This window comes from Homo sapiens, chromosome 16, assembly GCF_000001405.40.
Source record: "Homo sapiens chromosome 16, GRCh38.p14 Primary Assembly".
NCBI classification, from domain to species: Eukaryota; Metazoa; Chordata; class Mammalia; order Primates; family Hominidae; genus Homo; species Homo sapiens.
Genome location: NC_000016.10, coordinates 30,179,640 through 30,206,989, shown reverse-complemented (window position 1 = coordinate 30,206,989; position 27,350 = coordinate 30,179,640). Strand labels below are relative to the sequence as shown.

The window sequence follows — 27,350 nt, the reverse complement described above, 5'->3', positions numbered from 1 at the left end:
GGCAGAAAATAATAAGGGTTCAGGAAAGGGGGGCGGGCAGGGAAGTGCACAAGAAAGAGCCGCAATTTTATTGTATTTTATTTTTTTAGAGACAGGGTCTTGCTGTTTCCCCCAGGCTGGAGTGCAATGGAGTGATCATAGCTCACTTCAGCCTCCAACTCCTGGGCTCAAGCGATCCTCCCACCTCAGCCTCCCCCGTAGCTGGGACTACAGGCATATGCCACCATGCCCGGCTTCTCAGAGCTGCAATTTTAAATTGGGAGCCAGGGAAGACCTCCCTGTGGAGGTGGCAGGTTATCAAGACTGAAGATGTAGAGAAGAACCTTCCAGTCAAAGGGAAAAGGCAGGTCCTGCTGTGCTCAGGAATGGCCAGAAGTACTATCATCCATCCCCATCTTAGAGATGTGGACAGGGCCGCAACAGTGTCAGGGCGTTTCCTGGCTCCTCAACAGCAGGATCCGAAGTCGTCTGGAGGATGTGCCGCTCTGCTTGGGGCGGACCTCCCCTGGAGCGCACCTCCCCTGGAGCGCGCGGACGCGCAGGGTGCACACAGCCCTCTTGGACCCCGGGACCGGCTCAGGCTCAGGCTCGGCGTCAGCAAAGGGACCTGCGCGGCGCCCTGGGGCGGAGGAGGCCCGACGGTCAGTGGCCAGTGCCGTGCGGCTGACGGAGGTCGGGGCGCAACGGGACCGGGAGGAGCGCCCAGGGCGGGGGTGCCAGGCCCCCTCCAACCGCGGCGGGGTTGGAGTCAAGGCGGCTCCGGGCGGGGGTCGGACCCCAAATCCAGGCCACAGGCCGCCGCCCGGTCTTCTTCTTTACCCGAAGGGCGGCCGCGGCGGATGGGAAGCCGTGCACGACGAGCACAATCTCCATGGGGAGGAGAACAGGAATGTTCCTGTGAGCCCCGCCGCGCCCTACCGCCAGCGCAGCCCAGCATCGCGGGTCCCCTCCTATCCCACCGGAGAACGGGGTCCTCACTCCCAGCTTCAGCCGAGCCCTGGCCCCGCAACTGCCTGAAGGCACGCCCCCTGCACCTGCCCACCTCAGGTCCCGCCTCCAGCCCAGGTACCCACCTGTTCTCATTCCTCTCCCTCCTGCGCTCCACCCGACCCCAGCGTGCCCCCCAAGACCCCTGCGCTGGACCCCAGCCTGGATCATCACCCTCGCCTCAGCCAGCTGCTCTCCGGAGTTCTAACGCCGAGATTCCCAGGGCACCGCCTCCCCGTTAGGCTCCTCCCCTGCGACAGCCTCCCCCCACCAACAGGCCTCGCCCGGGACGTCCCGCGCACGTCACAGACCTAGTGGGTCCCTCTCAGCAGGCTTGTGCCCCCCGGTTCCGCCTCCTCCAGGGAGCCTTCCTCCGGGCACAGAGACCCTCCCCCTCTTAACAGGGACCTCGGCCAATGGTCCGCCAAGCCCCGCCTTTTTTGCGGCCACCATTGTGCTGCTGGACGAACAGGGTTGACAGTGAGCCCCACGTAGACAGGGCCCGGGTACCAGGGATTCAGGCAGTAGAGCAGCTGGACGCTGAAGAGGCACCCGGCCTCGCCCCGATTCCCGCGGGACCCTTCGAATTTTAGGAACTTTTCACTAACGAAACACACTTCTGTGTCAGCACCGACATCAAGAAGAGAACCTCACCAGCACCTCAGAACCCGCTTTGTCCCTCCCTGGTTCCTTCCCCTGGGTGCCTGGTGTGCTGCCGTCTCACCCATATGTAGTTGAGCGCAGCAGCCCCTGTAGGACACCTGGCAGATCAGGTCACAGTCCTGCTGTGCCCTCGGGCTCACTCGGGAGCTGGGGGCTCCCAGGTGCTCCTCCAGCAGCTCAGTTCAGCATGCTGGGGGGTCAGGGCCAGCCCCTGTCCCTGGGGCCTCAGGCCTCCCTTTCTTCCCACAGTGGCCAAGATCGCGGGTCTCTACAATGACTTGGAGCCACCCCGGAAGACCATGCGCAGAGGGGTGCTGATGACCCTGCTGCAGCAGTCGGCCATGACCCTGCCCCTGTGGATTGGGAAGCCTGGTGACAAGTGAGGGCAGCAGCTGCGAGGAAGGGGCTGGTGCCCAGGGGCTGGGACTGATCCTTTGTTCCACTCACAGGCCCCCACCCCTCTGTGGGGCCATCCCTGCCTCAGGAGACTACGTGGCCAGACCTGGAGACAAGGTGGCTGCCCGGGTGAAGGCCGTGGATGGGGATGAGCAGTGGATCCTGGCCGAGGTGGTCAGTTACAGCCATGCCACCAACAAGTGAGTGACACCAGCCCCGGGGCTGCTCTCTGCCCTTCCTGTCCACCTGCCCCACAGCCCCAGGAGGACTATTCTATCCTGTTTGAAGACACCTCCTATGCAGACGGCTACTCCCCTCATCTCAGTGTGGCCCAGAGGTACCTGGTAGCTTCTAAGGAGCCCAAGAAAAAGTGACGCTGCCCGGCGGACTCGACGTCCTCCACCATCTTGGGGCAGGACAGCAGAGGATGTGCTGGGATTAAACAGACATCCCCCCTCCACACATCTCCTGGGTTTTACTTCTCCAAACCCTTCTCCCCTCCCCAGATATGGTGACCTGGGGAGCTGAAGGCTGGGGGAGAGGTGACCATATGTGGCCCCACCGGGCATTCACTCTTTCAGCTCAGAGTTTCTCTTCCTTTCCAATACAGGCTCTACATGAACACAAATCATATTTTATTTTAATTGAGCTTTATTTTCTTTGGAGGGAGGGTCTTGCTTGTCATCCAGGCTGTAGTGAATGGGCATGTCATAACTCACTGTATCCACAACCTCCTGGGCTGAAATGATCCTCCAGCCTCTGCTTCCCAAGTAGCTGGGACTACAGGTAAGTGCCAGCACATGTGGCTAATTTTTTTACATCTTTGTAGAGATGAGGTCTCACTATTTTACCAGGCTGGTCTCAAATTCGTGGCCTATTGTGATCCTACCAGCTCAACCTCCCAAATCGCTGGGATTGCAGACATGAGCCACTGTGCCTGACTCAAAAATCATACTTTATTCTTGAGCCCATTGGTCAGGGTAGATTCGCACACTCCCTCTGCAGTGACTCCAGGAGCCCCTCTCACAGCTCAGAGCGGAAGCTGAGGCTGCAGCCTGCCATCTTCTCCGCATAGTCCGCATCGAAGCGCTCATTCTGCGCCACGGTGAAGGTGGTCTTCCAGTCCCCAGCCATGCCTGGGGGAGGAAGGCAGGGAGCAAAGCTGGAGTCTCATCCCAGGGGAGGCCCCAAGTGCCTATGGGGAGGCTGCAGCTGCTGCTCCCACCCGCCCCAAACCCCCGTGCTGGCCAGCACCCACCTTTCCTCATGAAGGGGGAGATGCTGTGGTCCATGAGCTCCTGGGGGACGGTGGTGTAGTTGGTCATAGGGTTCTTCTTCATCTCCTTGAACGACGTGTGCTGAACCATGAAGTCCATGGTCTCCTCTGGCAGGGAGCGCCCCACAAACTCCAGGATCTTTTGAATCTCCCTTTTGGGGTTCTGAGCAGCAGAGGGCTCCTCAGTGGAGCAAAACAAAACGGGTCCCCCTCTCTAACCTCAGAGGGGATCTGGCCACTTCCCCTAGAAACCCCAAAGAGCCTCAACCCCTGGGGCCCTAGTCTCTGGAGTAAAATGAATTGATCTCTGCCCTGTGATCCCATCATGAACAGGGCTTGGCGCCTATGGGTGAGGACCGGGATGGTCTTCTTCCATGACTGTGGCCCTGGGTGGCACACCCTTTGGTGAGGATAAGCAATAGGACTAAGTATCTGATCCGTGGCCACCCATGCAGCTGACTCAGGTGCAGAAGATGAAAGCTGTGCCGAGCCTGCTGCCAGGTGGGGCTGCAGTGGGGGGGCCTGGGCCAGGGAGGTAGGATGGGGAATCCGGGCTTGCTGTGGGAGCCGCCCAGGGACGGGGCTGGGTGGCCTTGGTGGGTCCCTGTGAGGTGCCTGCCCCCAGGTGTCACATGGGGGGAAGCATCACAGTCGGTCTCACCTCCTTCATGTCTTCATAGAAGAGGTAGAGAACAGGGTGGGTGCGGCTCAGCTCCCACCACTCCTGCACGTGCTGGTACCAGGACCCGTAGGACACTAGAGAAGCGGGCAGGGGGCACCGACACAGGGTTGCTGTACGTTATAGCCACCACCCCTCGGCTTCACACCCTCCTTCCTCCAGTCAAGCCCACCTTCTCCAGCCATGAACTTTTCCAGGAAGCTGTCCCAGGTCCCAGGCTCAGGGTGCGCCTTTTCCATACGGTGGAAATGGTAGTAGGAGACCGCCACGTCCTTTGGGTTTCGGGCAACATAGACCACCTGCAGGGGCAGAGGACCCAGCCCCAGCACCATCACCACACAGCCCACCCCAGGCCAGCTCATCTGTTGAACTGGCAAAGGAGGAACCTGAGGCTTAGAGGCTGACTTGCTTGAGATCTCACTGCACAGGTAGGGCCAAGCTGGGATCTGAACCCTGCTCGGAAGCCAAAGTCCTGCCTGGTTCCTGAGACCATATTCTATACTAATATAATCTGCACCAATGCCATCATATCCTGATCTGGAGCAAGGCATGCCTGGTCCCCACCAGCTCCCCCTCCTCCGCTGACCTGTGAGCACCCACATGCTGCCTTTCTTAAGTGTGCACTGTAGAGACTCACTATCCTTGCATCAGACCCTCATCAGAGCAAGAGGCAGACAGTGTCCTCTCTCAAGATGTGATGAAGGCTGGGCGTGGTGGCTCATGCCTCTAATCCCGGCACTTTGGGAGGCCAAGGTGGCCAGATCACCTGAGGTCAGGAGTTCAAGACCAGCCTGACCAACATGGTGAAACCCCATCTCTACTAAAAATACAAAATTAGCCGGGCGTGGTGGCAGGTACCTGTAATCCCAGCTCCTTGGGAGGCTGAAGCAGGAGAATTGCTTGAACCCAGGAGGCGGTGGTTGCAGTGAACCGAGATCACACGATTGCGCTCTAGCCTCGGCAACAAGAGTGAAACTGTCTCAAAAAAAAAAAGGGCCAGGCGCGGTGGCTCACGCCTGTAATTCCAGCACTTTGTGAGGTCGAGGCAGGAGGATCACAAGGTCAAGAGTTTGAGATCCACTTGACCAACATGGTGAAACCCCGTCTCTACTAAAAAGAATACAAAAATTAGCCGGGTGTGGTAGCACACGCCTGTAATCCCAGCTACTCAGGAGGCTGAGGCAGGAGAATCACTTGAACTGGGGAGGCGGAGGTTGCAGTGAGCTGAGATCATGCCACTGCACTCCAGCCAGGGTGACAGAGCAAGACTCTGTCTCAAAAAAAAAAAAAGATGTGATGAGCCTGGCAGAAGCGAGGAGGCCCTTCCAGAAGAACAGGTACATGGCTGAGAGGGCACCTGAGCCCCCCTTCCTGGCTTTCCTTGCCAGTCAGTGGGAACTTTTTTTTTCGTAGAGATGGTTTTGCTGTGTTGCCCAGGCTGGAGTGCAGCAGCAGGATCATCAGGGCTCATTGCAGCTTCCTATTTGCATAAACAGTCCTCCCCGCTGAGCCTCCTAAGTAACTGGGAACAGTCTATGCCACCATACCAGGTTGTTAATTTTATTTTTGTAGAGATGGGATGTCATCTCTACAGCAATGTTGCCCAGGCTGGTCTCCATCTCTCGCCTTCAAGGGATCCTCCCTCCTCAGTCTCAAACTGGGATGACAGGTGTGAACCATTGAGCCCGGCCTCACCTTGACCTTCTGATCCAACAGAGTCTGAGGGAGCAGAGCCAGGGGCAGGTGTGACTTGATGAGCCGTGGGGGCGGTGTGTCTTTCAGAGTCTCCAGCCCTGAGTAGTGGGTCAGGGAAGGTCTGGTGAGCTGAAGCCCCAGCCCTGTCTTCCTCCACTTCCCTTACCCCCAGGACCCAGCCATGCACCTGAGGGTTCCCCTGGATCATTGACCTCAAGGAAGGGCACCCGTACGTAGATGGGAGCCCGGTTACACTTCTCTAGGTCGCCGCCCTGGTAGATCATGTCCAGTATCTGGCTCACCCAGGTGGTGCCTGGAGAGGGAGGGAGATAGGAGGTGAGCAGGCTGAGGGCACGACCTTGCTGACCAAGGTGGGGACTGCCGCCTGGGAGAGGGTGGGTGGCCCTCCTCACTTACCAGACTTGGGGTAGGTGTTGATGAGCAGGTCATCAGGTCGGGCTTGGAAGCTCTGCAGGGGCCCCAGTGCCTCTGCAAAGTACTTGATGAGCGGGACCCCCTTCACGTACTCCAGTGGCGGGCGGGAGGTGTCCTGGATCAGCTCCATGTTCCTGCATCAGGGGCCAGAGCCAGGCCCGTTCCCTTACCACCATCACAACAGCAAGAAAGTGGGATTCTCTCTTTTTTTTTTTTTTTTTTGAGATGGAGTCTCACTCTCACCCAAGCTGGAGTGCAGTGTGGCACAATCTCAGCTCACTGCAAACTCCACCTCTTGGGTTCAAGCAATCCTCCCGCCTCGGCATCCCAAGTAGCTGGGATTACAAGCATGTACAACCATGCTCAGCTAATTTTTTTTTTTCTTTAGTAGAGATGGGGTTTCACCATGTTGGCCAGGCTGGTCTAGAACTCCTGGCCTCAAGTGATTTGTCTACCTCAGCCTCCCAAAGTGCTGGGATTACAGGTGTGAGCCAGCACCCAGCTGCCCCTTTGCAGAGTTTTTGCTTTCAGGGAAGTCACTGAGGCCTAGGGAGGCTGAGTGACTTGCCCGCACTCACAAAGTCAGTCAGTGGCGGGGCTGGGGCTGAAACCAGGTCGTTCCCCAGCCTGGCCGCACCTTTCAGTCACCTGCAGAGCTGTTCAAAATCCCAGGGCCTGGGGCATAGTGCAGACCAGTGAAAGCACCCTCGTAGCGCGGGGCCCAGATATCAGGGTGTGTGAAGGTCTCCAGGAGAGTCCAGCTGTGCTGAGGAAGCTCTAGGGCCTGCCTGTGCTGTCTCCCTGCCAGCCAGCGCCCTTTGTCTCACCATTTCCTGCTGGGACCCCCAGCCTCCACCCAGTGCGCTCCTCTCCCCGATGCTCCCCTCCTTGAGCCCCCCTCATGCCCCTCACATGTGGAAACCTCCCAGGCCGGCCAGGTCTGTGATCCACTTGCCTGGCCACAGTCCATCTGGGCTCCAGAACAAACACAGCCCATTGAGCAACTAAGCTGGTACCAGGGGCTAGAGCCTCGTGCGGGAATGAAAACTGATGACTCATCAAAAGGAGGGGCCCAGGCAGGGTGACTCCCGCCTGTAATCCCAGAGCCTTGGGAGGCCAACGGGAAAGGATCCCTTGAGCCCTGGAGTTTGAGACCAACCTGGACAACAAAGCAAGACCTCTCCTCTACAAAAAATATTTTTCAAAATTAGCTGGGTGTGGTGGCTTGCTCTTGTAACCCCAGCTACTCAGGAGGCTGAGGCGGCAGGATTGCCTCAGCCTAGGAATTTGAGGCTGCAGTGGGCCAGGATCCCACTACACTCCAGCCTGGGTGACGGAGCAACACCCTGTCTCAAAAATACACAAAGGAAAAGAAGGAACGCAGGGGGATTCCGGCCAGGCTGGGTTGTCTAATTGAAATGGAATATCCATGGGAAAGGGCAGGGATGGCAGAGGCCTCGGCTTCTAGAATGTTGGAGCCACAAGCTGAGCAGGGTGAAGGTGCCCTGGGCCATTCCAACGTGTCACTCACCTGAGCTCTCGGGAACCTGACCTGTTCTCTCCTTGCCTGCAGGGGCTGAGTATGGGTGTGGTGTAGGGAGTGTAGGGCTGCTCTCTGCCCTGAGGGTTTTGAAGGTCCAGTGTGGGAGGGATCTAAAGTCAGGGCTGGGAACTCCAGGAAGGAAGGGGTGGGGTTGAGGGTGGGGAAGCTTCTCTATTACCCTCCTTACCACCACAGCTCCAGCCAAGCTTGGAGTGATCTGCAAACCCAATATGTGAGTTTAGTGTATAGAAAACACATGAATGAAAGGCAAAAGGGGCCAACATTGGTATTTGGGTTTTTTTTTTTTTGAGCTGTCACTAGGCTCCTGACCTTCCCTCTGAACTCCACCCTGCAGGGCAGGCCAACAGACAAGCTTTCTTTCTTTCTTTTTCTTTTTTTTATATGAGATGGAGACTCGCTCTCTCGCCCAGGCTGCAATGCAGTAGCACGATCTCCGCTCACTGTAACCTCCCCCTCCTGGGTTCAAGCGATTCTTCTGCCTCAGCCTCCCGAGTAGCTGGGATTACAGGTGCACACCACCACATCCGGTTAATTTTTGTATTTTTAGTAGAGACGGGGTTTTGCCATGTTGGCCAGGCTGGTCTCAAACTCCTGAGCTCAGATGATCCGCCCGCCTCGGCCTCCCAAAGTGCTGAGATTACAGGCATGAGCCACCATGCCTGGCCGACAAGCTTTCTCTAATTGACCCAGGCAAGGGAGGTGAGTGAGTGGAGGGGAAAGGTGGGATAGGCCGGCCTGGGAAAAGTCACCTACCTGCTGGCTACAGGCCAGTCTTGAAGGCGGCAGGGGTTCTGGCCCAGTGCAGTCCACAGGCCCCCAGCAGCCCAGGCATTCCAGGCTCTGACCACAAGGCCAGTCTGGAGTGATGTGTGGGGGCAGAGTGAAGGGGCAGAAGTGGAGCAGAGCATGGACATATAGAACAAGAAAGAGGCTGAGCGTGGTGGCTCACGCCTGTAATCCCAGTACTTTGGGAGGTCGATGCAGCAGGATCACCTGAGGTCAGGAGTTCGAGACCAAGCTGGCCAACATGGTGAAACCCTGTCTCTACTAAAAATACAAAAATTAGCTGGGCATGATGGCGGGCATCTGTAATCCTAGCTACTCAGGAGGCTGAGGCAAGAGAATCACTTGAACCCAGGAGGCGGAGGTTTCAGTGAGCCAAGATCACACCACTGCACTCCAGCCTGGGCAACAGAGTGAGACTCTGTCTCAAAAAAAAAAAAAAAAAAAAAAAAAGAAAGAAAGAAAGAACAGAAAGAATAAGAAAGGACAAGGACACTGTAGTCCCATTGCCCTAGGAGCCAGCCCTAGCTTCATGGCTCCTGGGGGACCTCACAGAGCATCAATAGAAGATCCTAGAAGAAAAACAACCCTGGCAGGTGATTTTCTTTCCCTGGGTTTGAAGGAGGCTCCGTAGACAAGAGACTAGAGGAGATTAAGACTTGGAAGCCACAGGGCCCCGTGGAAGGAGGGCATCCCCCCATCCTCCTTGGTCTTTGTCCTATTTGCATTCAATTTCAAGGTAAGTCTCCCAGGCTTCCAAGAATTGCATGAGCTCAGAGGCAAGTAGGGGAAAGCTGAGGCATGGGGTTTCCAGGCAGAGTAGAAGCTGTTCACGTGCTAGGGCCAGGGGCCCCTCCTGCCTCCTCTGTGCCCCTGAGGAAGCCCCGTGACTGGCAGGACCTTGGGCTACTAGCTCCGCCCCTCCCCTCAGCATCCACCATAAGGCACCCTTGACTCAGACTTTTTATTGTACTCAAGTAAAAACCTGCTGGACCCACAGCAGGTGGCACAGAAAAGAGGTAGGAGGGGGTAAGGACACTGAGGATCAGGTCTCCAGCAGGTCTGTCCAGTGTGCCTGCAGAGGCAAGCAGTGTGGTCACAGGCAGCCCAGGGCAGGGAGTGGGGTAGGGAGCCCGCCACCAAAGCCCACTCACCTCTTCTAATTCTGAGTCTTCTACTTCTTTCTCAGTGTCCATCTGGCACAGCCAGATCAGGTCTCCCCAAAGCAGTGACTTCTCACAGCTACCAAGGAGAGGGGCAGGTAGGAGATACAGAGTCAGATGCCACAAGCCCCCTCCAGTATCCGCCCTGCATGCTGAGATGAGGGCTCAGCTGCCTGGGCCTGGATTGCACAACTGGGCACCCTCTTCCCAGAGGTGGACCAGGCTGGGGCCAGGGGACTGCACTCACCAAGGGCATTGGCCCTCTAGGGGCAGAAGCTGCCCTGGTTCTTCCTGAAGAAACTCCTCTGCCAGGCAGATCACATGGGCCCTTAGCAGGCAGCCAGGGTGGGGGCAACACAAGGGCCCCTCTTCATCCTGACCCAGGCAGCAGGCAGGTAAGAGACAAGGAGGGAGAGGCAGCTGGCAGCAACCCCTCTATGCAGCAGGCACTGTTGCGGGCATTACACAGCTCCATCCCATGAGGCAGGGGTGACTGTTATTTGCATCTTACAAATGAAGAAACTGAGGTGGACAGTTAAAATCCTTGCCCCTAGGACTAAGCTGGTGCAGGTCCTGGGAGCATCAGCAGTGATTGATTGAGTCACAGCCTCACCACTGCAGCCAGACCTGAACTTCCTCACAGCTCAGCAACACCCAGCAGGTCACTGAATGTCCCCAGGGCAAGTCCTCTACTCACTCACAATTACCGGGAGCTCAGTAGAAGGCACCCATCGTCCATTATTTTATTAAATATTTAGGCCGGGCACGGTGGCTCATGCCTGTAATACCAGCATTTTGGGAGGCTTAGGTGGGCAGGATCACCTGAGGTCAGGAGTTTGAGACCAGCCTGGCCAACATGGTTGAAACCCCATCTCTACTAAAAATACAAAAATTAGCCAGGCGCGGTGGCAGGCGCGTGTAATCCCAGCTACTCTGGAGGCTGAGGAAGGAGAATTGCTTGAAACCAGGAGGCAGAGGTTGCAGTGAGCTGAGATCGCGCCACTACACTCCAGCCTGAGCGACAGAGTAAGACTCTGTCTCAAAAAAAAAATAAATAAATAAATAAAAAGAAAATTTCTGGGCCATCGGCTCAGTGCAGGACTTTGTTCTACAGCAGTGATAAGTGCTGCCCTCTGATAGTGCAGTGTGGCAGTTGGGGTGGGAGAGGCTAATGAGATCAAGAAAACACGTAGCATGCCAGACAATAGTAAGTGTTAAGGGAAAGGGGGTGCAGAAAAGTGCACACAAGAATGAGCTGCAGTTCATTACATTGTTTTAGAGACAGGGTCATGTCCAGGCATGGTGGCTCACGCCTATAATCCCAGCACTCTGGGAGGCCGAGGCGGGCAGATCACTTGAGGTCAGGAGTTTGAGACCAGCCTGCCCAACATGGCGAACCCCATCCCTACTAAAAACACAAACATTCGGCAGGTGTGGTGGCACACTTGGGAGGTTGAGATAGGAGAATCGCTTGAACCCAGGAGGCGGAGCTTCCAGTGAGCTGAGATCACTGCACTCCAGCCTCCGCAACAGAGCAAGACTCTGTCTAAAAAAAAAAAAAGGGCCGGGCGCGGTGGCTCATGCCTGTAATCCCAGCACTTTGGGAGGCTGAGGCGGGCGGATCACGAGGCTAGGACATCGAGACCATCCTGGCTAACACGGTGAAACCCCGTCTCTACTAAAAATACAAAAAATTAACCAGGCGTGGTGGCGGGCGCCTGTAGTCCCAGCTACTCGGGAGGCTGAGGCAGGAGAATGGCGTGAACCCAGGAGGCGGAGCTTGCAGTGAGCAGAGATCGCGCCACTGCACTCTAGCCTGGGCGACAGAGCTAGACTCCATCTCAAAAAAAAAAAAAAAAAAAAGAGGGTCATGCTCTGTCGACCACACTGGAGTGCAGCGGAGTACTGATGGCCTAGGGAAGAACCTTTTCTTTGAAGGGGAAATGGTGAAGGCCCTGAGCAGGGCCTGCTTTGCTCAGGAATGGCCGTAAGTCCTATAGCATCAGCATCTTAGAGATGGGGATAGGGTGGCCAAAGCGTGTCAGTGGGTTTCCCTCAAGAAAGAGCTGGATCCGAAGTCGTCTGGACTCTAGAGCCATCCATTCCTCGGGGGGACCTCACCTGGATGGTCTGGGCGCACAGGGAGCAGCAGGCCCCTGGATCCCCCTGGTCTGGCTCAGGCTCCGCGTCATCAAAGGGACCTGCGCGGCGCCTTGGGGCCGGGGCCTGGGGCGGTGGAGGCCCGAAGGCCAGAGGCACGTGCGGCGGCGGCGGGAGGCAGAGGTCCTGGCGGAGGTCTGGGCGCACCCAGCGCAGCGTGAGCGGGAGGCGAGCCCAGGGCGGTGCGCGCAGCATGTGCGCCAGCACGCGCAGGTGGAAAGCGAAGGCTGTCTCTCCTCGCAGGCGAGGCCCCACGTGCGCCAGGCGGCGCGAGGCGTGCGGGTGCTGCCAAGCCCACTCAAACTGCGGGCGGCGTACAGGGGCATCAGGGCGGCTCGGAGCGAGGGGCGGAACCCAAGCCCTCACCCGGCCGCCGCTGCCCGGTCTCCTTCCTTACCCGAAGGGCGGCCACGGAGGACGGGAAGCCGTGCACGACGAGCACCATCTCCCTGAGGAGGAGAACGGTGATGTCCCTGTCGCAGCCCAGCGCCTCAGCCGCGGGTCCCCTCCAATCCCACCCGAGAGCGGGGTCCTCATTCCCGGCTTCAGCCGAGAAGTGCAGCCCTCTGCACCTGCCCACCTCAGGCCCTGCCTCCAGCCCAGGTACCCACCTGTCCCACCTCCTCTCTCTCCTGCATTCCACCCGACCCCAGCGTGCCCACCAAGAGCCCTATGCTGGAACCCAGCCTGGATCATCACCCCCGCCCCAGCTAGCTCCTTCCCTGAGTTCCGCCGCGGAGATGCCCCGGGCACCGCCTCCCCGTCACGCTCCTCCCCTGCGACAGGCCCCGTCCCCACCACAGACGCCCCGCCTCTGTCACAGTCCTGGCCGGTCCTTCTCAACAGGCCTGTGCCCCGCGGGGTCCGCCTCCTCTGGGACGCCTTCCTCCCGGCACAGAAGGCCTCCCCCTCTCACCAGGGCCCTCGCCCGCTGGTCCGCCAGGCCCCGCCTTTTTTGCGGCCCCCATTGTGCTGCTGGACCCGACGAGCAGTGTTGACAGTGAACCCCACGTAGACGCGGCCCCGGTACCGGGGGTTCAGGCAGTAGAGCAGGTAGACGCCGAAAAAGCGCCCTGGCCTCGCCGCGACCCCCGCGGGACCCATCGGGCCTTGGGGTTCGGGAACCACAGCAGGGGGTTGATTGCCGTGACCTAGGGTCCAGGGGAGGGCTGGATCGCTAGGGCTGCAGGGTGCTTGCTTCGGAACAAGCTCTCGGGGACTATCCGGAGGCAGCCTGCAGGAAGCCGTAGCGCCGGTACGTGCCCCTCTCCTGTCTGGAGGCGGGTGTAGAAGTCCGACCGCGGAAGCCAGACTGCTGTCCAGTCGGCGAGCGCGTACCATTCAGCATCGGCTCCGCCCGAGTCCCACCTTCCTCAGGCTCTGATTGGCTGACACATGGCAAGCGCGAAAAGCCTGGACCGCTGGAAAGCCCGGCTGCTTGAGGGCGGAAGTACTGCGTTGACGTACGCCTTAGTAAGGGCGGAAGTGAGTTTTCCAGCGGAAGTGGCTCCTGTAAGGCAGCAAGGTAGCGTGGCCGGCGCCCGAGCTGGGGTTGTGTCCCTGCTGGGCTGCCGTTCCAGCTGGACTGCCGCCATGGAACTCAGCGCCGAATACCTCCGCGAGAAGCTGCAGCGGGACCTGGAGGCGGAGCATGTGGTGAGTTGAGCCGCCGGACAAGGGGAAAAGAGCTCGGGGGGCGGGTTCGGCACCATTCATATTCTTCCGCTCGGTAGGAGGTGGAGGACACGACCCTCAACCGTTGCTCCTGTAGCTTCCGAGTCCTGGTGGTGTCGGCCAAGTTCGAGGGGAAACCGCTGCTTCAGAGACACAGGTAAGGCCCTGGGAGCACCTTGCCTAGCTCCTGTACCACAACCCCAGCCACTCCCCCTACCCCTGCAACCTGACTCCCGCACTCCCCCTGGCGTGGCTCAGGGACCTTGAGGATCCCGCCTTCGTGACCCCTGCTTCGAGTATTTCGATGTAGACCCTCTCTCCAAGTACGTGTTCCCACGGCCTGGGGACTACAACCTTGGGGACACCAGTCTCTTGGGTCACCCTAGCCTCGGGGTGTGCGATCACCGCTGGCCTTTTCCTAACCCCATCTCTCGCCCCAGGCTGGTGAACGCGTGCCTAGCAGAAGAGCTCCCGCACATCCATGCCTTTGAACAGAAAACCCTGACCCCAGACCAGTGGGCACGTGAGCGACAGAAATGAGGGACTGGGATCTGCACAGCCATTAAATTATAAATCTGGACCAGCTTCTGTGTCGATGTGTGTGTGGGAGGGGTGCTGAGGCCGAGTCTAGGACCTGGCCTCTCCCTGCCCTGCCTCCGTCCATTGTTTTACCTTGGACACGTCTCTGTCCCCATCTAGGCCTCTATCCCTGCTTGTAAAATGAAAGTTCTACCGTAAAAGTCCCTTCCAGGGTCTACCGAGAAAGCCTTCTCTCTGCAACTCCGTTTAGACATCTAGGAGTCTGTACTGCCACCACCTACCCACCTCCTAGAGAGCTCAGGGTTCCTCCTCTCTGCTAGCCTTCAAGATGCAGAGATGAGAAAGTGATCGGGGTTTCAGGGCCCTGACCAGTTGAACAAACCTCTCCCTGACATTACCGCAGTATCAGAGGCACCATATAGAATTCCACATATTCCTTGCAGGTTCCCCCCGGCCTTCTCAGGCCCAAGAGGGAGTGGTGCCCAGGTAGGGGCTCATCAACTCCTGGAATGCTGATGTTTTCAGACCCACTGGAGAAGGTTCCAGTGGCCCCATAGCCCTGGGCTTAATGTGTCTACAGCTGCCCCCGGAGGACCATGGAGGTTTTAAGAATAGTGGGTGTGGGACGGGGATAGGGGTGAGATTAGAGTAGGAATATAAGGCTGACCTGAGTCAGAAAATTGGGGCAGGTGATGCCCCTGTATCAGTCTTCATAACAGGTTAGTAGGGTTGCTAGGACCTTGTTTGTTTTATTTGTTTTTTGTTGTTTGAGACAGGGTCTTGCTCTGTCGCCCAGGCTGGAGTGCCGTGGCGCCATCTCAGCTCATTGCAACCTCTGCCTCCCAGGTTCAAAAGATTCTTGTGCTTCAGCCTCCTGAGTAGCTGGGATTACAGGGGTGCACCACCATGCCCGGCTAATTTTTGTACTTTTAGTAGAGACAGGGTTTCACCATGTTGGCCAGGCCAGTCTCAAACTCCTGGCCTCAAGTGATCTGCCCGCCTTGGTCTCCTAAAGTGCTGGAATTTTAGGCGTGAGCCATTGTACCTGGCCCAGATTGCTAGGACTTTGAACAGAGGTCCCTGAGACCTAGGGAGGGAGCCCAAATAACCTAGTTGGGGCCAGGGCTCGTTGAGAGTGAGAAATTGCAAGTTTCAGCCATCACACACTCTTTTCCTGCGTTTTTTTGTTTGTTTGTTTGTTTGTTTTGAGACAGAGTCTTGGCTCTGTTGCCCAGGCTGGAGTGCAGTAGCATGATCTTGGCTCACTACAACTTCCCCCTCCCGGGTTCAAGCGATTCTCCTGCCTCAGCCTCCCTAGTAGCTGGGATTACAGGCACACGCCACCATGCCCAGCTAATTTTTGGGGGTTTTTTATTGTTTGTTTGTTTGTCTGTTTTTGAGACAGAGTTTCACTCTTGTTGCCCAGGCTGGAGTGCAATGGCACGATCTCGGCTCACCACAACCTCCGCCTCCTGGGTTCAAGCGATTCTCTTGTCTCAGCCTCCCAAGTAGCTGGGATTACAGGTATGTGCTACCACGCCCGGCTAATCTTGTATTTTTAATAGAGACAGGGTTTCTCCATGTTGTTCAGGCTGGTCTTGAACTCCCGACCTCAGGTGATCTACCCGCCTCGGCCTCCAAAAGTGCTGGGATTACAGGCGTGTGCCACTTATGCCCAGCTTTCTTTTTTGTTTTCTTCCCACACCTCTACTGCCCAAGTAGTTTTCTATGGCATACTGAAGAGGTGGGGCCTGGAAATGACGCCATGGGTGGTCCCTGCTTGATATGAACCAAACCTTACTATGGCTAAGACGCCCATCCCAAACAGCCCTGTGTCCTCCCATCTCAGGATCACCTGCTAAGTTGGGTATCAAAACCTATTCCCACACCCACTCCCCACAAGGCCTGACAGACCTGTTCCTGCCAGGTCTCTCACAGAGGTCAGGCCCAGGCAGAACCCACAGGAAGGGCTAGAGAGGCAGAAGCACTCACTACACGGGGGAAGGCTCTGAATTCAAAAGGGGAGACATAAGGCCAGGCACAGCGGCTCATGCCTGTAATCCCAGCACTTTGGGAGGCTGAGGCAGGCAGATGACTTGAGGCCAGGAGTTTGAGACCAGTCTGGCCAACATGGTGAGACCCCACCTCTACTGAAAACACAAAAGTTAGCCGGACGTGGTGGCACATGCCTGTAATCCCAGCTACTTGGGAGTCTGAGGCACGAGAATGGCTTGAACCCAGAAGGCAGAGGTTGCGGTGAGCCGAGATTGTGCCATTGTACTCAATTTGGGCAACAAGAATGAAACTCCATCTCAGAAAAAATTAAATAAATAAAAAAGTGGGGAGACTTGGACTCTGACTTGGGATCTGCCCTTCAGTGAGCTGGGCTCCTGCTCCCGGCCTCAGTTTCTTCTCTGGTAAACTAGGATCAGCCTGTTGCCTTAATTCTGTCTTTTCCTTAGAAGAAGTTCCCCTGTTTCATATATTAAAATATATAATATATAAAACATATATATAAAATATATATAATTTATATTATAATATATAATATAATATAATATAATATAATATATATTATAATATATATTATATATTATACTATATTATTATATAGTATAATATATAACTTATTACTATATAATATAATATATAATTTATTATTATATAATATAATATATATTATATATTAAAATATATAATTAATATATATAATATTTATATATTAAAATATAATATATATAATATTTATATATTAAAATATATTATATATAATATATTTATATATTAAAATATATAATATATATAATATATTTATATATTAAAATATATATGATGTATTTATACATTTAAAAAATATATATATATATATATATATATATTTTTTTTTTTTTTTGAGACGAAGTCTCACTCCTGTCCCCCAGGCTGGAGTACAATGGCATGATCTCGGCTCACTGCAACCTTTGCCTCCCGGATTCAAGCAATTCTCTTGCCTCAGCCTCCTGAGTAGCTGAGATTACAGGCGCCTGCCACCATGCCCAGCTAATTTTTGTATTTTTAGTAGAGATGGGGTTTCACCATGTTGGCCAGGCTGGTCTCGAACTTCTGACCTCAGGTGATTCACCCACCTCGGCCTCCTAAAGTGCTGGGATTACAGGCGTGAGCTGCCACACCCGGCCTATTTATATTTTTTAGAGACAGTGTCTTGCTCTGTCACCCAGGCTGCAGTGCAGTGGTGCAATGGCTCATTGCAGCCTCGACCTCCTGGGCTCAAGGGATCCTCCTGCCTCAGCCTCCTGAGTAGCTGGAACTATAGGTGCCCACCACCATGCCTGGCTAATTTTTTATTTTATTTTTCGTAGAGACGGTATCTCGCCGTGTTGCTCAGGCAGGTCTCAAACTCCTGGGCTCAAATGATCCTGCCGCCTCAGCCTCCCACAGTGCTGGGATTATAGACGTGAGTCCCCATGCCCAGCCTCCCTCGTTATTTTTATCTTTGGACCTGCAGTTTAAAAGATGCCTACCCTGTAAGTGATGGTTGGTTCATTTCCTCACAAGCAACAGTGCCAGCAGAGTCACGTGCAACGTGATGTTTTGGTTGACTAGGAAAGGCAGATTTTTGGTAAATTTGGGAATTATTGAGGTTCTAAGCTAGGGCCTTAAATAGTTCAGCTGTGTCAGCTCTGAGAAGGAGCTCGGAAACGGAGAGCAGCCTCCTGGCCCACATCAGCATGGCTGGTTTCTACCCACGAAGGCCCTGTTCCTGTGATGTAGTAAGTCAGGGGGCATCCCACATCCCCTGCCATGGGTCAGTCCCCTCAGCGCGGTGGAGGGGAAGCTCTAGGGCTGGTTGGTTCAGCAAACTGCGTGTCTAGGGGACCAGTCATCAGAGTCTGGGAGGTACCAGAAAATAAAGCCATTTTATTATGATTTTTTTCTCTGCCATGTGGCTGGGAATGGGAGGTGAGTGGATGGGTGTGAATGGCTGACCCTGCTGGAGGCCCTGCGGGGCTCTACTTGGCCTGGACTGTCTCCTCCAGCCTGTCCAAGCGCTTCTGGAGCTCCTGCACCGTGGCCTGGAGCTTCCGCATCTCCTCCTCCAGCCGAGACACGGCATCCTGGGGACCCGGTGCTGCATTAGGCCCAGCTCCTCCCTGGCTCCCCTTACCCCAGCCTCTGCTGAGCCCCATCCCTAGAGCCCTGGCCTTGGGCCCTTTAGTCGCTCAGCTGGTTGCTGCCTGGAGACCTGCAGGCCTATCAATCTGAAACCTGTGTTCTGAGGCCTCAGGATTACCATTCCCGGACCCACAAAGATTCCCAATGTTGTGAGTTTGAGGTGCCCCAAACACCAGCCCCACCCCACCCTCCCAGTTTTATTCCCTGGCTTCCCAGCCCTCTCACCGAGCTGGGAGTGCCACTGGCCTCTGGTGCTGCCCTCCTGCGCCCGGTGTCCAGGCCCCGGTTGACCCTCAGCTCCCGGCTCTTTGGGGGTACGTAGCCATCCTTGAGGGAGATGAGGAGGGGCCCAGCATCCCGACCCCCCAGCCACTCCTCAGCCGTGAGGGCAGGGTCGGGCCCTGCGGTGGGTGGGTACAGGTCCTCCTGGAACAGGTCCGACTGTGGGCAAGGCCAGGGATAGTGAGGAAAGCGCTTATGCCAGGACACCCCCCACAAGACCGCAAAGTCAGTGCCCAGCCTGGAGCCCAGGGTGGGGCGGGGGAGCATCACCTTTCGAGGCACTGTCATGGCAATGGGCTCACACCTCCGCTCGTGCAGCTTGTAGAACCTGTGGGAAGGGGAAGGTGAGCGGGGCCCACAGTCTGGTTGGGTGGGCTTGGGACTGCCCACTGCCCAAGGAGCATGCTGCGGTCAGGGCCGGGGGTCAGTCACCTGGCGATCTCACACTTGTTCACCTCCAGGCCACGTTTGGGCATGTAGCCCATGCCCCGCTGGGACTCCTTGGAACTGAACATGGAGAGATAGTGCAGGAAAGGGGCCTCGGAAGTGATCTCAAAGTACCGGATTGAGCTGTCACCCTGTAGGTGGCAGGTGTGGAGGGAGGGTCAATACCAGCGGATGCCCACTGCCCTGGCCCTCTCCAGGCCCATCCTGCCCACCTCCCACCCCCACCCCGCCCGACGAGGCCACCTTGCCACAGAGGTAGACGATGTTGGTGTCAGGGTCAAAGAAGGGCAGCAGGACACCGCTGCTGGTGTCCAGCTCCTGCAGGGACAGCGGCTCCTCCAGGTGCTTCTGTAGACACAGGTGAGAGGTAACATCCCAGGCCCTGGGATGGTGGTCTTCCCTGGGCAGTGACCTGTGAGGGCCCTCCCGACCAACCAGTGGGAACAACCATCTCACGCCTGGGTAAACTGAGGCCCATGGCCATCCTGCCAGGTGAGTGGCAGAGCAGGGACGAAACCTCCAGTCTTGGTTCCCAGCCTGGGGGCCCTCGGCTTCCTGCCCCAGCACTCACTGTGTCCCACAGCGCCACCTGCCGCTCACTCATGCGGCTGAAGCCCGTGGTCAGGATCTTCCCCTCCGACACGAACACTGCACGCACGGGCCGGGTCCCCTCGTGGGGACGGTCCTTCTCCTGCAAGGAAAGGGAGGTGGTAGGTCAGGCACCCGTACATACCCTACGGGGCCAGTCCCAGGTGGAGGCGAGGGAGGGCAGCATCCAAGGGCCTGGCTGATGGTGGATAAGAAGGATAAAGGCTGTAGGGTCAAAGGTCAGGGTAGATGGCGACTCACAGCTACGACAGTGCCTTTGCGGGGCTCGATGATGCGCACGCGCTTGTCACGGCAGGAGGTACAAATGAGGCCTCCATCTCGGCTCCAGTCCACACTGTAGATCGTGTCTGGGTGCACCTCTGGGCCCAGTGTCAGCATGGCCGCCCCAGTGCCCACGTCCCACACCATGATCACGTTGTCACAACCTGCACGTTCCCCACAGTGTCAGAAGCCATGAGCCTCCTGCCCTCATCCACTGCAGGCCACGAGCCACCCCCAAGCCCCTCCTCCCGCAGCACCTGCACTGAGCAGCACGTTCTGGGCTGTGGTGTGCCAGGCCACAATGCCCACACGCTTGGTGTGGCCCTCCAGGGTGACGACGGGCTCCCGCAGGGGCAGCATCAGGCCCCCATCTGGGATCTCCCACACCTGCAGAGGAGGGGCCAGTGAGTCTTCAGGACTCCAAATGTCAGATCCCATCCTAGAGCCCCTCTCCCAGCCCCTGGGTCCCCACCACCACTCACCATGACTGTGCAGTCCTCGGAGCCACTGGCAATGACGTTGTCATTGTGCGGGCACCAGGCGATGTCTAGCACAGGGGCTGTGTGGCCACAGACCGTGGGCGCATTCTTGTCCACACGTCCAGTCTAAAGGCACAGCAGGGCCTTGGAGGTGCTTTTGCCTCCCAAACCCAATCCAACCTCCCCACACCTCCTTCAGAGAGGCCCAGAGAGGAAAGCTGTGGTGTCCCTGGGAGCTGGACCAGGGCCTGGGGTGGGGACGGGGGCGGGTTGTTCTTCTCTTGTTCCAGTCCCAAAATGGCCTGGGCAAACCCCAGGAGGGCTGGCCACGCATGGCAGAGGTTGGGGGCCGTGCAAGACCCTGGCAGAGTTCCCGCCGGTCTCTGTCTCAGTCTGTCTCTGCCCTTAGGGTTGGCACCCCCACCCCAGCTTCCCCGAGTGAGGCTTCCATGGGCACAACTGGCCCTGGAGCCAGGACAGGTGTATGGGGGCTGGGGGGGTGGAGGCAGCTCCCCAGAGAGCGAGTGTGAGTGGTGGGGCTGCAGGGGTGGGTCCTCCCAAAAGGAGAGGGGCCAGGGAGCCTGTCCCAACTGGCCCCAGGCAGGAGCAGAGGTTTGGAAATGGCTTCTTCCGGGGACAGCTGCTTCAGCAGGGCTTCCTGTGTGACAGCCATGTGGGGCGCGGGCCCAGCTCTCACCCCGACAACCACTTCCTCTTCTCTTTGCTTCCATCAGCCCTTTTAAGGTAACAACTTGGGGCCCATCTCCCCTTCCTGTCTTACCCCCCAAAGAGCACAGGAGTGTGCTGGGGGTGCGGGGCAGCAGCCAGCCAGCGGAGGGGGCAGCAGGCTCCAGGGGAGGGCAGGGCTGCGGGTGGGGGAGAGCACCTCTTGCATCATCCCTGCCTGCGAGCTGGGGGACAGAGTTGCTAGGTCCTCAGACAGGCCCAGAGCCAGAGTCCCTCCCAACCCTGAGAACGCTGCCAGGGCCCCCAGACCCCATCCCAACCCCCTCTGTGTTTCCATGGGGAGAAAGCCCCAGGCTGAGGCTCAGGAGGGCTGATCATGGGTCTGCAGGACTGTCTGTAGTCCTGGTCACTGGTGTGACCCATCTTGTGTTGGCTCCTTCTGAGCGTCAGTTTCCACACAGCCACAGCACAGAGGAGCTGGAGGAAGTGTAAGGCTCATGGGGCCCAGCTCAGTTTTCCAGATGGCAACACAGGCCCTGGAAGGCCTGGTGACCGTCACCTAATCAGGACCTGCACAGAGCCATGGGTCCGGTGGAGGAGCTGCTCCCCCCAGGGCCCCAGGGGCTCACCTTGCCCAGGGGCAGCACCAGGAAGGCCCCTCCCCCGCTGGCCTCACAGATCAGGGCCACAAACTTAGGGTTGACAGCACAGAAGCCACTGTCCCAGGTGGTCTGTGAGACGCGCACATCTTCATAGCACTGGTCGGCCTTGGCCGGCTGTCCAAACACGTGGCGGAACTTGCTGGAGCGGACCACCTGCCGGCTCATTCTGGGGGCACACAGCATAAGAGCATTTCTCCCTTCAGGTCAACTCTGATCTTCCAGTGGTCCCCACCTCCCCCAGGACACCCCTCAGTCTGGCTTTTAAGGTCCCAGCATCATCTCCAGGGGCTCCCTATTCTTCCCTCTGTGGCTGATGCCTGCTTGCCTTCCCCAGCCTCTCCTTCCCTCTAACCTGCAAGCCCCCTTCTCCCTGGCCCCAGGCCACTCTGAGCCACCCTCTCAATCTGTACCCTCAGCCTCTGCAACAGAGCCTGGCGTGGTGTTGCCCCACTGCATGTTTGTTGACTGACTGGCTGATGGATGCAGAGCCCGTCCTTCCTAATGGTTCAGACTCAGGCGTCATCAGCCCAGATGGCTCCGAGGGTGGGTTCTCTCTTAGTTACCGTGTCCAGAGCCCACCTCCCTCACACCCACACAGCGCTTCCTAAAGGCAGGGACAGGAGCTGGCCTCCCTCGCCTGCTGGCATGGGGCTGGACACAGGAGGAAGTGGCGTGGGGGCTGCCTGAGGGGAGTGAGGCGGCAGGATAGCTTCCCCAGCAGGTCTCTGGCTCAGGTCCAGGTATCTCCTCCTCCCCATACCTCTGCCTCTCGCCTCCGCTCAGAAAAGCAGGTGCCCTTAAGAGCCATCTCCACCCCCATGTAAACTGCACACAGGAAGGGAGAGGCCACTCCGACTGCTCTGAGGTCCAGGTAGGATGGTTTCCCCCAGTGTCTGGGTGGGGAGCAAGGAACTCCAGGGGCGACCTTGTGCCACCGCATCACCTTCCTGCTCAGGGAAGGGGCCTGTGCTGCCGCTTGGAGGGTGCCATGCCCAGAGCCTCTGCCCCTAGCCTCAGCCTCGCCTACTCACTGGGGGCTCCAGCACCCCCGGCCACCCCAGGACTCCCGAAGAGGCTGCTAGGTCGGCCTGCCCAAAGAGCGGTGAGGAGCGTATGTGAAGAGCCCCAGTCTTGAGGAGCAGCCTGTATCTGGAGAGAGGGGAGCCCCGGACCAGAGGTGGGGGACAGGAAGCCATCGCCCCACCCTGCCTCCTCCCCCACCACAGGTACCAGGCCCGGAAACCACGGAAAGGGGAACTTGGTCTTTTCTTGTTTTGCTCTCAACCCCTTCCTGTCTCCAAGCCCAGGGCAGCTGCCCCGCTCACCCCACCCTGCCCTCGTCCCCACCCTCCCCGAGACTCAATTCCGTGGGGAGTCGGGCCCTCGACACTGTGCTGACCCCCGGCCACCCACCTCCATCTTGGCCGCGGTGGTCCCTAGCCCTCGCCTCCGCAGAGCGCTCTGGGGCCCCGGCGGCCCCCACTCCAAGCAGCGTCCCCCCACGGGCTGCTGCGCCCGCTACCTGGCCCCGGCGCTGGCTGGGTCGCGGTGACAGCCGCGCGCCCCCGCAGCCCGCGGCTCCCACGCGCGCGCCGCCCCACAGGTGGCCCTCGCCCCGGCCCACCCGCGCCTCCCAGGCCCAGCCTCACCTGCTGCCGAGAGAGGACAGTGATCCCCCAAAAGCCGGAGGTGGAGGAGGAGGAGGAAGAGGAGGAAGGAGCTGGAGGAGCCGGGGACTCGCCCGCTGAAGATGCTCTTGTCAAGACAATGAATGAGAAGCAGCCGTGCGCCCGCCTCCGGGGTGGCCGCGCCCCTTGGGGCGGAGCTCTTCCAGGCCCGCCCTGCGCTCCCGGGCTCCCGCTGCGGCCGCCTCTCTCCCCGGCCCCTGCCCGTGCACCACGTTGGTCCCCAACCATAGCGCAGGCTGCCATCCCGGCTCCGGGAAGCGAATCTAAACTTCTTTTTAAAATGTCAAAACGCAAGAGCACCCCATTGCTTCTTTCCTCCCTGCGTCCGCCCCCAGCCTCCTCGCCAGCCTTTCCCTGGCAGGCACGAAAGCGCCCCAGGCCCGCCCGCCAGGCCTCGGTGCCCGCCCCGGCCCGGCTGCGCCGCCCCTTCCTCCCGGCCCCGCAGACGCGAGCGCAGGGGGCGCGGGGGGCGCGGGGGGCGCGAGGGGCGCGGGGGGCGCGGGCGAGGAGGAGCCCCGAGCGCGCTCCTGGACCCCCGGGACCTGGCTCTTGCCTGGCTCTGAGATCTAAGCATGGGTGGCCCCGGGAGTCGCTTCTCCTCCCTGGATCTCCTGGCTTCATCGGGAACACCCCTGCCCTCCTGCTGAAATAATCCGGCATCACGGGCACCTACTTCGTGCCAGGGGCTACAGGGTCGAGCAAGGCAGGCAAGCCAGGCAGGTTTCCGCCCCTGAAGAGCCCAGCCTGGGGGAAGGAGGAGGAGCCCACGGCCGCTCCAAGCCCTGGCTTTGGCGAAGGCTCGAGGGCAAGGAGGAATAGTTCCCACCCTTGGATTCAGAGAGGCTTCTGGAGGCAGCAACAGCGGGCAGGAAAGGCCTGCTCTAGAGTCAGACTATGTCATGAGTGCGACCGCAGCCTGTCACCTGCTGAGTGAGGTGTGGCCGCTACTTAGCCTTTCTCAGCCTCGGTTTCTCCCTCTGTAACAGTCATACCTGCCACGTAAGAGGTATGGGGATGATTACCTAAAATAACCCAAGGAAGTCAGTAAGGACCTCATCTAGAAAGTGGCGGGTGCTTAATAAACGTTAGCTCTCAGCCATGCGTAGTGACTCACGCCTGTAATCCCAGCACTTTGGGAGGCCAAGGCTGGCGGATCACCTGAGGTCAGGAGTTCGAGACCAGCCTGGCCAACATGGTAAAACCGCATCTCTACTAAAAATACAAAAATTAGCGTGGTGTAGTGATGCACCCCTGTAATCCCAGCTACTGAGGAGGCTAAGGCATGAGAATAGCTTGAACCCTGGAGGCAGAGGCTGCAGTGAGCCAAGATTGAGCCACTGTTATCACCCAGTCTTCTCTGGGTGAAAGAGCAAGACCGTCTCATTTTAAAAAAAGTTAGCTCTCATCATTCTTGTTTAAAAAGTATCTGGGCTGGGCCTGAAAGGATTAGGAAGAGCCAACAGGCAAGGCTAGAGGGGTGACCTGTAGGCTGAGGGACAGCCCTGTCGTGTGGAGAAGTTCAAGGAACAGCAAGGGACGGGTTCAAGTCCCACCTCTGCCACTGACTGGCTGTGCGATCTTGGCCAAGAGGGCTAATCTCTCTGAACCTCATTTTGTCATTGGTAAATGGGGAATTAATAAGATTTGAACTGCCCACCTCACAAAGTTATGAGGCTCTGGCCGGGCGCAGTGCCTCACGCCTGTAATCCCAGCACTTTGGGAGGCCAAGGCGGGCAGATCACGAGGTCAGGAGATGGAGACCATCCTGGCTAACATGGTGAAACCCCCTCTCTACTAAAAATACAAAAAATTAGCCAGGCATGGTGGCAGGCGCCTGTAGTCCCAGCTACTTGGGAGGCTGAGGCAGGAGAATGGTGTGAACCCAGGAGGCGGAGGTTGCAGTGAGCCGAGATCGTGGCACTACACTCCAGCCTGGGTGACAGAGCGAGACTCCATCTCAAAAAAAAAAAAAAAAAAAAATTACCCGGGCATGGTGGTGCATGCTTGTAATCCCAACTACTCTGGAGGCTGAGGCAGGAGAATTGCTTGAACCTGGGAGGCGGAGGTTGCAGTGAGCTGAGATGGCACTATTGCACTCCAGCCTGGGCAACAAGAGTGAAACTCCGTCTCAAAAAAAAAAAAATTAGCTGGGCATGGTGGTGTGCGCCTGTAGTCCCAGCTACTCGGGAGGCTGAGGCAGAAGAATCGCCTGAACCCAGGAGGCAGAGGTTGCAGTGAGCCAAGACTGTGCCATTGCACTCCAGCCTGGGCAACAGAGTAAGACTCCATCTCAACAACAACAAAAAAGTTACTAGGCTCAAATGAGACAATAAATCTGTAAATCTTTTATAGATTATTCAATTGTAAAAACCTTAGGGCTGTACTGTACTCAAAGGCCTGCGACTGGACGGGACTAGACCGAGATAAGGTGGGTACTCTGATGTGCCGTCTCCCACAGAAGTGACAGGAATAATAACTGGCTTTTATTGAGTGCCTACTATGTGCTGGGCACTGTTCTAGACACTATACTATGTTCATGTAATCCTCATAGCACCCCTGGGTAGCAAATACTATCTCCATTTTACAGATGCAGAAACTGAAGCACACACTGCCTTCAGCTCTGGAGGGCCTCATGTCCACCCACAGGACGAGGGCATTGGTGAAGGACCTGAAAACTAGGCTCCTGAAGGTGGCGAGCCTGACGGCCCTGGAGAGGGCAAGGTGCAGGCAGACAGTGCTGCTTTCAGAGGCCAAGTGGGCTGCAGCAGGGGAAGGGGTGGGCAGCCTTGGGGCTGCCACAAAGGTCAGGGGCAAGGCTGGTGGGTGGAGGTTCTGGGAAGCAGATGTCCATGCAGCATAAGAATTAGTTACAGCAGTGAGTGGGGAAGGCCCTGGCAAGGCTCTCCATGTTTGAGAGGGGGACAACCTTTTCAAAGGGTGTCCTTATAAGGGATGTCAGAGGGCATTTGCCCAGGAGCGGCGAGAATCACTTGAGCCTAGGAGTTTGAGACCAGTGTGGGCAGCATAGCAAGACCCCATCTCTTAAAAAAAAAAAAAATGAAATTAGCCAGCTGTGGTGGCATGTGCCTGTGTTCTCAGCTGCTTAGGAGGCTGAAGTGGGAGGTTCGCTTGAGCCCAGGAGTTCCAGGCTAACAGTGAGCTATGATTGCACCACTGCACTCCAGCCTGGGTGACAGAGGGAGACCCAGTTTCAATTAAAAGAAAAAAAAGGGGGACCTTTGCCTCTCTTGTTCCTGCTGGTTTAGCTCTTACCATTGCCTCTCTCTTTTTTTTTTTTTTTTTTTTTTTGAGACAGGGTCTCCCTCTGGCTGGGGTGCAATGGCACGATCACAGCTCACTGCAGCCTCAACCTCCCACGCTCAAGCGATCCTCCCATCCATCCTCAGAGCCTCCCGAGTACCTGGGACCAGAGGCACATGCCCAACACACCTAGCTAATTTTTTAAATTGTTGGTAGAGACGGGATCTCACTATGTGGCCTAGGTGGGTCTCGACCTCCTGGGCTCAAGCAATCCTCCTGCCTCAGCCTCCCAAAGTGGTGCAATTACAGGCATGAGCCACCGTGCCTGGTCCCGTCGCCTCTTTATTGGATTTTCTTTTGGGGAACCAACCTCTCCTCACAGGCACTCCATGAGGTTCAGGAGGGGACCTGGCGTATTCACATGGCCTGTGCTTCCCAACCAAAGCAACCTGTTTTCATTGGCTCAGGGATGGGCACTTGATTCATCTTGTGCCCAAGACTCACCTTGGAGCTGCTGTGAAAAAGATGCCCTCTCTCCACTGGGAGTTAGGAAGCTGATAGGATGTAAGCCCAGCACTGCTGGTGATATCTTGTTGGTATGCAGGAAAAGCTGGTCAGAGCAAGGTGCAGTGGCTCACGCCTGTAATCCCAGCACTTTGGGAGGCCGAGGCAGGCAGATCACCTGAGGCCAGGAGTTTGAGACCAGCCTGGCCAACATGGCAAAACCTGTCTCCACTAAAAATATAAAAAGTAGCCAGGCATGGTGGTGTGCACCTGTAGTCTCAG

At 57.3% G+C, this 27,350-nt stretch overlaps 4 protein-coding genes, 2 long non-coding RNA genes and 1 pseudogene across 12 annotated transcripts, besides 17 other annotated features; 3 read left to right on the top strand and 4 right to left on the bottom strand.

Annotated features, from left to right (window-relative positions):
- LOC613038 (SAGA complex associated factor 29 pseudogene) lies at window positions 63-2,674 on the top strand (annotated as a pseudogene). Its single transcript, NR_002557.1, has 5 exons — window positions 63-736; window positions 826-1,065; window positions 1,900-2,029; window positions 2,100-2,163; window positions 2,304-2,674. The product of NR_002557.1 is annotated as an SAGA complex associated factor 29 pseudogene (transcript).
- Window positions 2,661-12,557, bottom strand: SLX1A-SULT1A3 (SLX1A-SULT1A3 readthrough (NMD candidate)). The gene is made up of 11 exons (NR_037608.1): window positions 12,199-12,557; window positions 11,763-12,104; window positions 9,889-10,016; window positions 9,633-9,720; window positions 6,114-6,265; window positions 5,884-6,009; window positions 5,697-5,794; window positions 4,174-4,300; window positions 3,984-4,078; window positions 3,305-3,485; window positions 2,661-3,182 (listed from the first exon to the last, which is right to left on the bottom strand). It is a non-coding gene; the product is annotated as an SLX1A-SULT1A3 readthrough (NMD candidate) (long non-coding RNA).
- On the bottom strand, window positions 2,680-7,735 carry SULT1A3 (sulfotransferase family 1A member 3). Its single transcript, NM_177552.4, has 8 exons — window positions 7,663-7,735; window positions 6,114-6,265; window positions 5,884-6,009; window positions 5,697-5,794; window positions 4,174-4,300; window positions 3,984-4,078; window positions 3,305-3,485; window positions 2,680-3,182 (listed from the first exon to the last, which is right to left on the bottom strand). Exons 2-8 carry the CDS (start codon window positions 6,259-6,261, stop codon window positions 3,070-3,072), a joined length of 888 nt encoding a protein of 295 aa, NP_808220.1. The 5' UTR covers window positions 6,262-6,265; window positions 7,663-7,735; the 3' UTR covers window positions 2,680-3,069.
- SLX1A (structure-specific endonuclease subunit SLX1A) lies at window positions 9,424-13,147 on the bottom strand. 2 transcript variants are annotated; one of them, NM_001014999.3, is made up of 6 exons: window positions 12,718-13,115; window positions 12,199-12,250; window positions 11,763-12,104; window positions 9,889-10,016; window positions 9,633-9,720; window positions 9,429-9,553 (listed from the first exon to the last, which is right to left on the bottom strand). In NM_001014999.3, exons 1-6 carry the CDS (start codon window positions 12,903-12,905, stop codon window positions 9,524-9,526), a joined length of 828 nt encoding a protein of 275 aa, NP_001014999.1. In that variant the 5' UTR covers window positions 12,906-13,115; the 3' UTR covers window positions 9,429-9,523. The 2 variants fall into 2 exon arrangements, with proteins under 2 accessions (NP_001015000.1, NP_001014999.1); NM_001015000.2 differs by lacking the exon at window positions 11,763-12,104 and having other exon boundaries at window positions 9,424-9,553; window positions 12,718-13,147.
- Window positions 11,422-12,145: an enhancer, noted in NCBI's record as "H3K27ac-H3K4me1 hESC enhancer chr16:30206166-30206889 (GRCh37/hg19 assembly coordinates)". NCBI's record gives its function as "activates a minimal SCP1, AML or CMV promoter by ChIP-STARR-seq in primed H9 embryonic stem cells {active_cell/tissue: H9 hESC(primed)}" and the evidence as "EXISTENCE:reporter gene assay evidence [ECO:0000049][PMID:30033119]".
- Window positions 12,871-13,595: an enhancer, noted in NCBI's record as "OCT4-NANOG-H3K27ac hESC enhancer chr16:30204716-30205440 (GRCh37/hg19 assembly coordinates)". NCBI's record gives its function as "activates a minimal SCP1, AML or CMV promoter by ChIP-STARR-seq in primed H9 embryonic stem cells {active_cell/tissue: H9 hESC(primed)}" and the evidence as "EXISTENCE:reporter gene assay evidence [ECO:0000049][PMID:30033119]".
- BOLA2B (bolA family member 2B) lies at window positions 13,324-14,058 on the top strand. 2 transcript variants are annotated; one of them, NM_001320607.3, is made up of 3 exons: window positions 13,324-13,457; window positions 13,573-13,632; window positions 13,916-14,058. In NM_001320607.3, exons 1-3 carry the CDS (start codon window positions 13,395-13,397, stop codon window positions 13,964-13,966), a joined length of 174 nt encoding a protein of 57 aa, NP_001307536.2. In that variant the 5' UTR covers window positions 13,324-13,394; the 3' UTR covers window positions 13,967-14,058. The 2 variants fall into 2 exon arrangements, with proteins under 2 accessions (NP_001307536.2, NP_001034271.2); NM_001039182.4 differs by having other exon boundaries at window positions 13,535-13,632.
- CORO1A (coronin 1A) lies at window positions 17,914-23,388 on the bottom strand. 2 transcript variants are annotated; one of them, NM_001193333.3, is made up of 12 exons: window positions 23,265-23,388; window positions 22,647-22,764; window positions 21,583-21,781; window positions 20,270-20,392; window positions 20,045-20,174; window positions 19,767-19,951; window positions 19,489-19,608; window positions 19,161-19,265; window positions 18,903-19,048; window positions 18,741-18,798; window positions 18,414-18,629; window positions 17,914-18,130 (listed from the first exon to the last, which is right to left on the bottom strand). In NM_001193333.3, the coding sequence occupies exons 3-12, from the start codon at window positions 21,778-21,780 to the stop codon at window positions 18,026-18,028; spliced, it is 1,386 nt and encodes a 461-aa protein (NP_001180262.1). In that variant the 5' UTR covers window position 21,781; window positions 22,647-22,764; window positions 23,265-23,388; the 3' UTR covers window positions 17,914-18,025. The 2 variants fall into 2 exon arrangements, with proteins under 2 accessions (NP_001180262.1, NP_009005.1); NM_007074.4 differs by lacking the exon at window positions 22,647-22,764.
- Window positions 19,322-19,861: an enhancer, noted in NCBI's record as "H3K27ac-H3K4me1 hESC enhancer chr16:30198450-30198989 (GRCh37/hg19 assembly coordinates)". NCBI's record gives its function as "activates a minimal SCP1, AML or CMV promoter by ChIP-STARR-seq in naive H9 embryonic stem cells {active_cell/tissue: H9 hESC(naive)}" and the evidence as "EXISTENCE:reporter gene assay evidence [ECO:0000049][PMID:30033119]".
- Window positions 19,388-19,682: an enhancer, noted in NCBI's record as "tiled region #7413; HepG2 Activating non-DNase unmatched - State 12:CtcfO, and K562 Activating DNase unmatched - State 5:Enh". NCBI's record gives its function as "activates a minimal TATA promoter and a strong SV40 promoter by Sharpr-MPRA in HepG2 and K562 cells {active_cell/tissue: HepG2 | K562}" and the evidence as "EXISTENCE:reporter gene assay evidence [ECO:0000049][PMID:27701403]".
- Window positions 19,862-20,402: an enhancer, noted in NCBI's record as "H3K27ac-H3K4me1 hESC enhancer chr16:30197909-30198449 (GRCh37/hg19 assembly coordinates)". NCBI's record gives its function as "activates a minimal SCP1, AML or CMV promoter by ChIP-STARR-seq in naive H9 embryonic stem cells {active_cell/tissue: H9 hESC(naive)}" and the evidence as "EXISTENCE:reporter gene assay evidence [ECO:0000049][PMID:30033119]".
- Window positions 20,426-20,575: an enhancer, noted in NCBI's record as "active region_10695". NCBI's record gives its function as "activates an Ori minimal core promoter by ATAC-STARR-seq in GM12878 lymphoblastoid cells {active_cell/tissue: GM12878}" and the evidence as "EXISTENCE:reporter gene assay evidence [ECO:0000049][PMID:35858748]".
- Window positions 20,906-21,055: an enhancer, noted in NCBI's record as "active region_10694". NCBI's record gives its function as "activates an Ori minimal core promoter by ATAC-STARR-seq in GM12878 lymphoblastoid cells {active_cell/tissue: GM12878}" and the evidence as "EXISTENCE:reporter gene assay evidence [ECO:0000049][PMID:35858748]".
- Window positions 20,906-21,484: a biological region, named in NCBI's record as "H3K4me1 hESC enhancer GRCh37_chr16:30196827-30197368".
- Window positions 20,943-21,484: an enhancer, noted in NCBI's record as "H3K4me1 hESC enhancer chr16:30196827-30197368 (GRCh37/hg19 assembly coordinates)". NCBI's record gives its function as "activates a minimal SCP1, AML or CMV promoter by ChIP-STARR-seq in naive H9 embryonic stem cells {active_cell/tissue: H9 hESC(naive)}" and the evidence as "EXISTENCE:reporter gene assay evidence [ECO:0000049][PMID:30033119]".
- Window positions 21,485-22,024: an enhancer, noted in NCBI's record as "H3K4me1 hESC enhancer chr16:30196287-30196826 (GRCh37/hg19 assembly coordinates)". NCBI's record gives its function as "activates a minimal SCP1, AML or CMV promoter by ChIP-STARR-seq in naive H9 embryonic stem cells {active_cell/tissue: H9 hESC(naive)}" and the evidence as "EXISTENCE:reporter gene assay evidence [ECO:0000049][PMID:30033119]".
- Window positions 21,486-21,585: a silencer, noted in NCBI's record as "silent region_7360". NCBI's record gives its function as "represses an Ori minimal core promoter by ATAC-STARR-seq in GM12878 lymphoblastoid cells {active_cell/tissue: GM12878}" and the evidence as "EXISTENCE:reporter gene assay evidence [ECO:0000049][PMID:35858748]".
- Window positions 22,025-22,566: an enhancer, noted in NCBI's record as "H3K4me1 hESC enhancer chr16:30195745-30196286 (GRCh37/hg19 assembly coordinates)". NCBI's record gives its function as "activates a minimal SCP1, AML or CMV promoter by ChIP-STARR-seq in primed H9 embryonic stem cells {active_cell/tissue: H9 hESC(primed)}" and the evidence as "EXISTENCE:reporter gene assay evidence [ECO:0000049][PMID:30033119]".
- CORO1A-AS1 (CORO1A antisense RNA 1) lies at window positions 22,202-23,597 on the top strand. 3 transcript variants are annotated; one of them, NR_186358.1, is made up of 3 exons: window positions 22,202-22,486; window positions 22,659-22,841; window positions 23,219-23,597. It is a non-coding gene; the product is annotated as a CORO1A antisense RNA 1 (long non-coding RNA). The 3 variants fall into 3 exon arrangements; NR_186357.1 differs by having other exon boundaries at window positions 22,571-22,841; NR_186359.1 differs by lacking the exon at window positions 22,659-22,841.
- Window positions 22,567-23,107: an enhancer, noted in NCBI's record as "H3K4me1 hESC enhancer chr16:30195204-30195744 (GRCh37/hg19 assembly coordinates)". NCBI's record gives its function as "activates a minimal SCP1, AML or CMV promoter by ChIP-STARR-seq in primed H9 embryonic stem cells {active_cell/tissue: H9 hESC(primed)}" and the evidence as "EXISTENCE:reporter gene assay evidence [ECO:0000049][PMID:30033119]".
- Window positions 22,956-23,065: a silencer, noted in NCBI's record as "silent region_7359". NCBI's record gives its function as "represses an Ori minimal core promoter by ATAC-STARR-seq in GM12878 lymphoblastoid cells {active_cell/tissue: GM12878}" and the evidence as "EXISTENCE:reporter gene assay evidence [ECO:0000049][PMID:35858748]".
- Window positions 23,096-23,555: a silencer, noted in NCBI's record as "silent region_7358". NCBI's record gives its function as "represses an Ori minimal core promoter by ATAC-STARR-seq in GM12878 lymphoblastoid cells {active_cell/tissue: GM12878}" and the evidence as "EXISTENCE:reporter gene assay evidence [ECO:0000049][PMID:35858748]".
- Window positions 23,696-23,805: a silencer, noted in NCBI's record as "silent region_7357". NCBI's record gives its function as "represses an Ori minimal core promoter by ATAC-STARR-seq in GM12878 lymphoblastoid cells {active_cell/tissue: GM12878}" and the evidence as "EXISTENCE:reporter gene assay evidence [ECO:0000049][PMID:35858748]".
- Window positions 24,526-24,635: an enhancer, noted in NCBI's record as "active region_10693". NCBI's record gives its function as "activates an Ori minimal core promoter by ATAC-STARR-seq in GM12878 lymphoblastoid cells {active_cell/tissue: GM12878}" and the evidence as "EXISTENCE:reporter gene assay evidence [ECO:0000049][PMID:35858748]".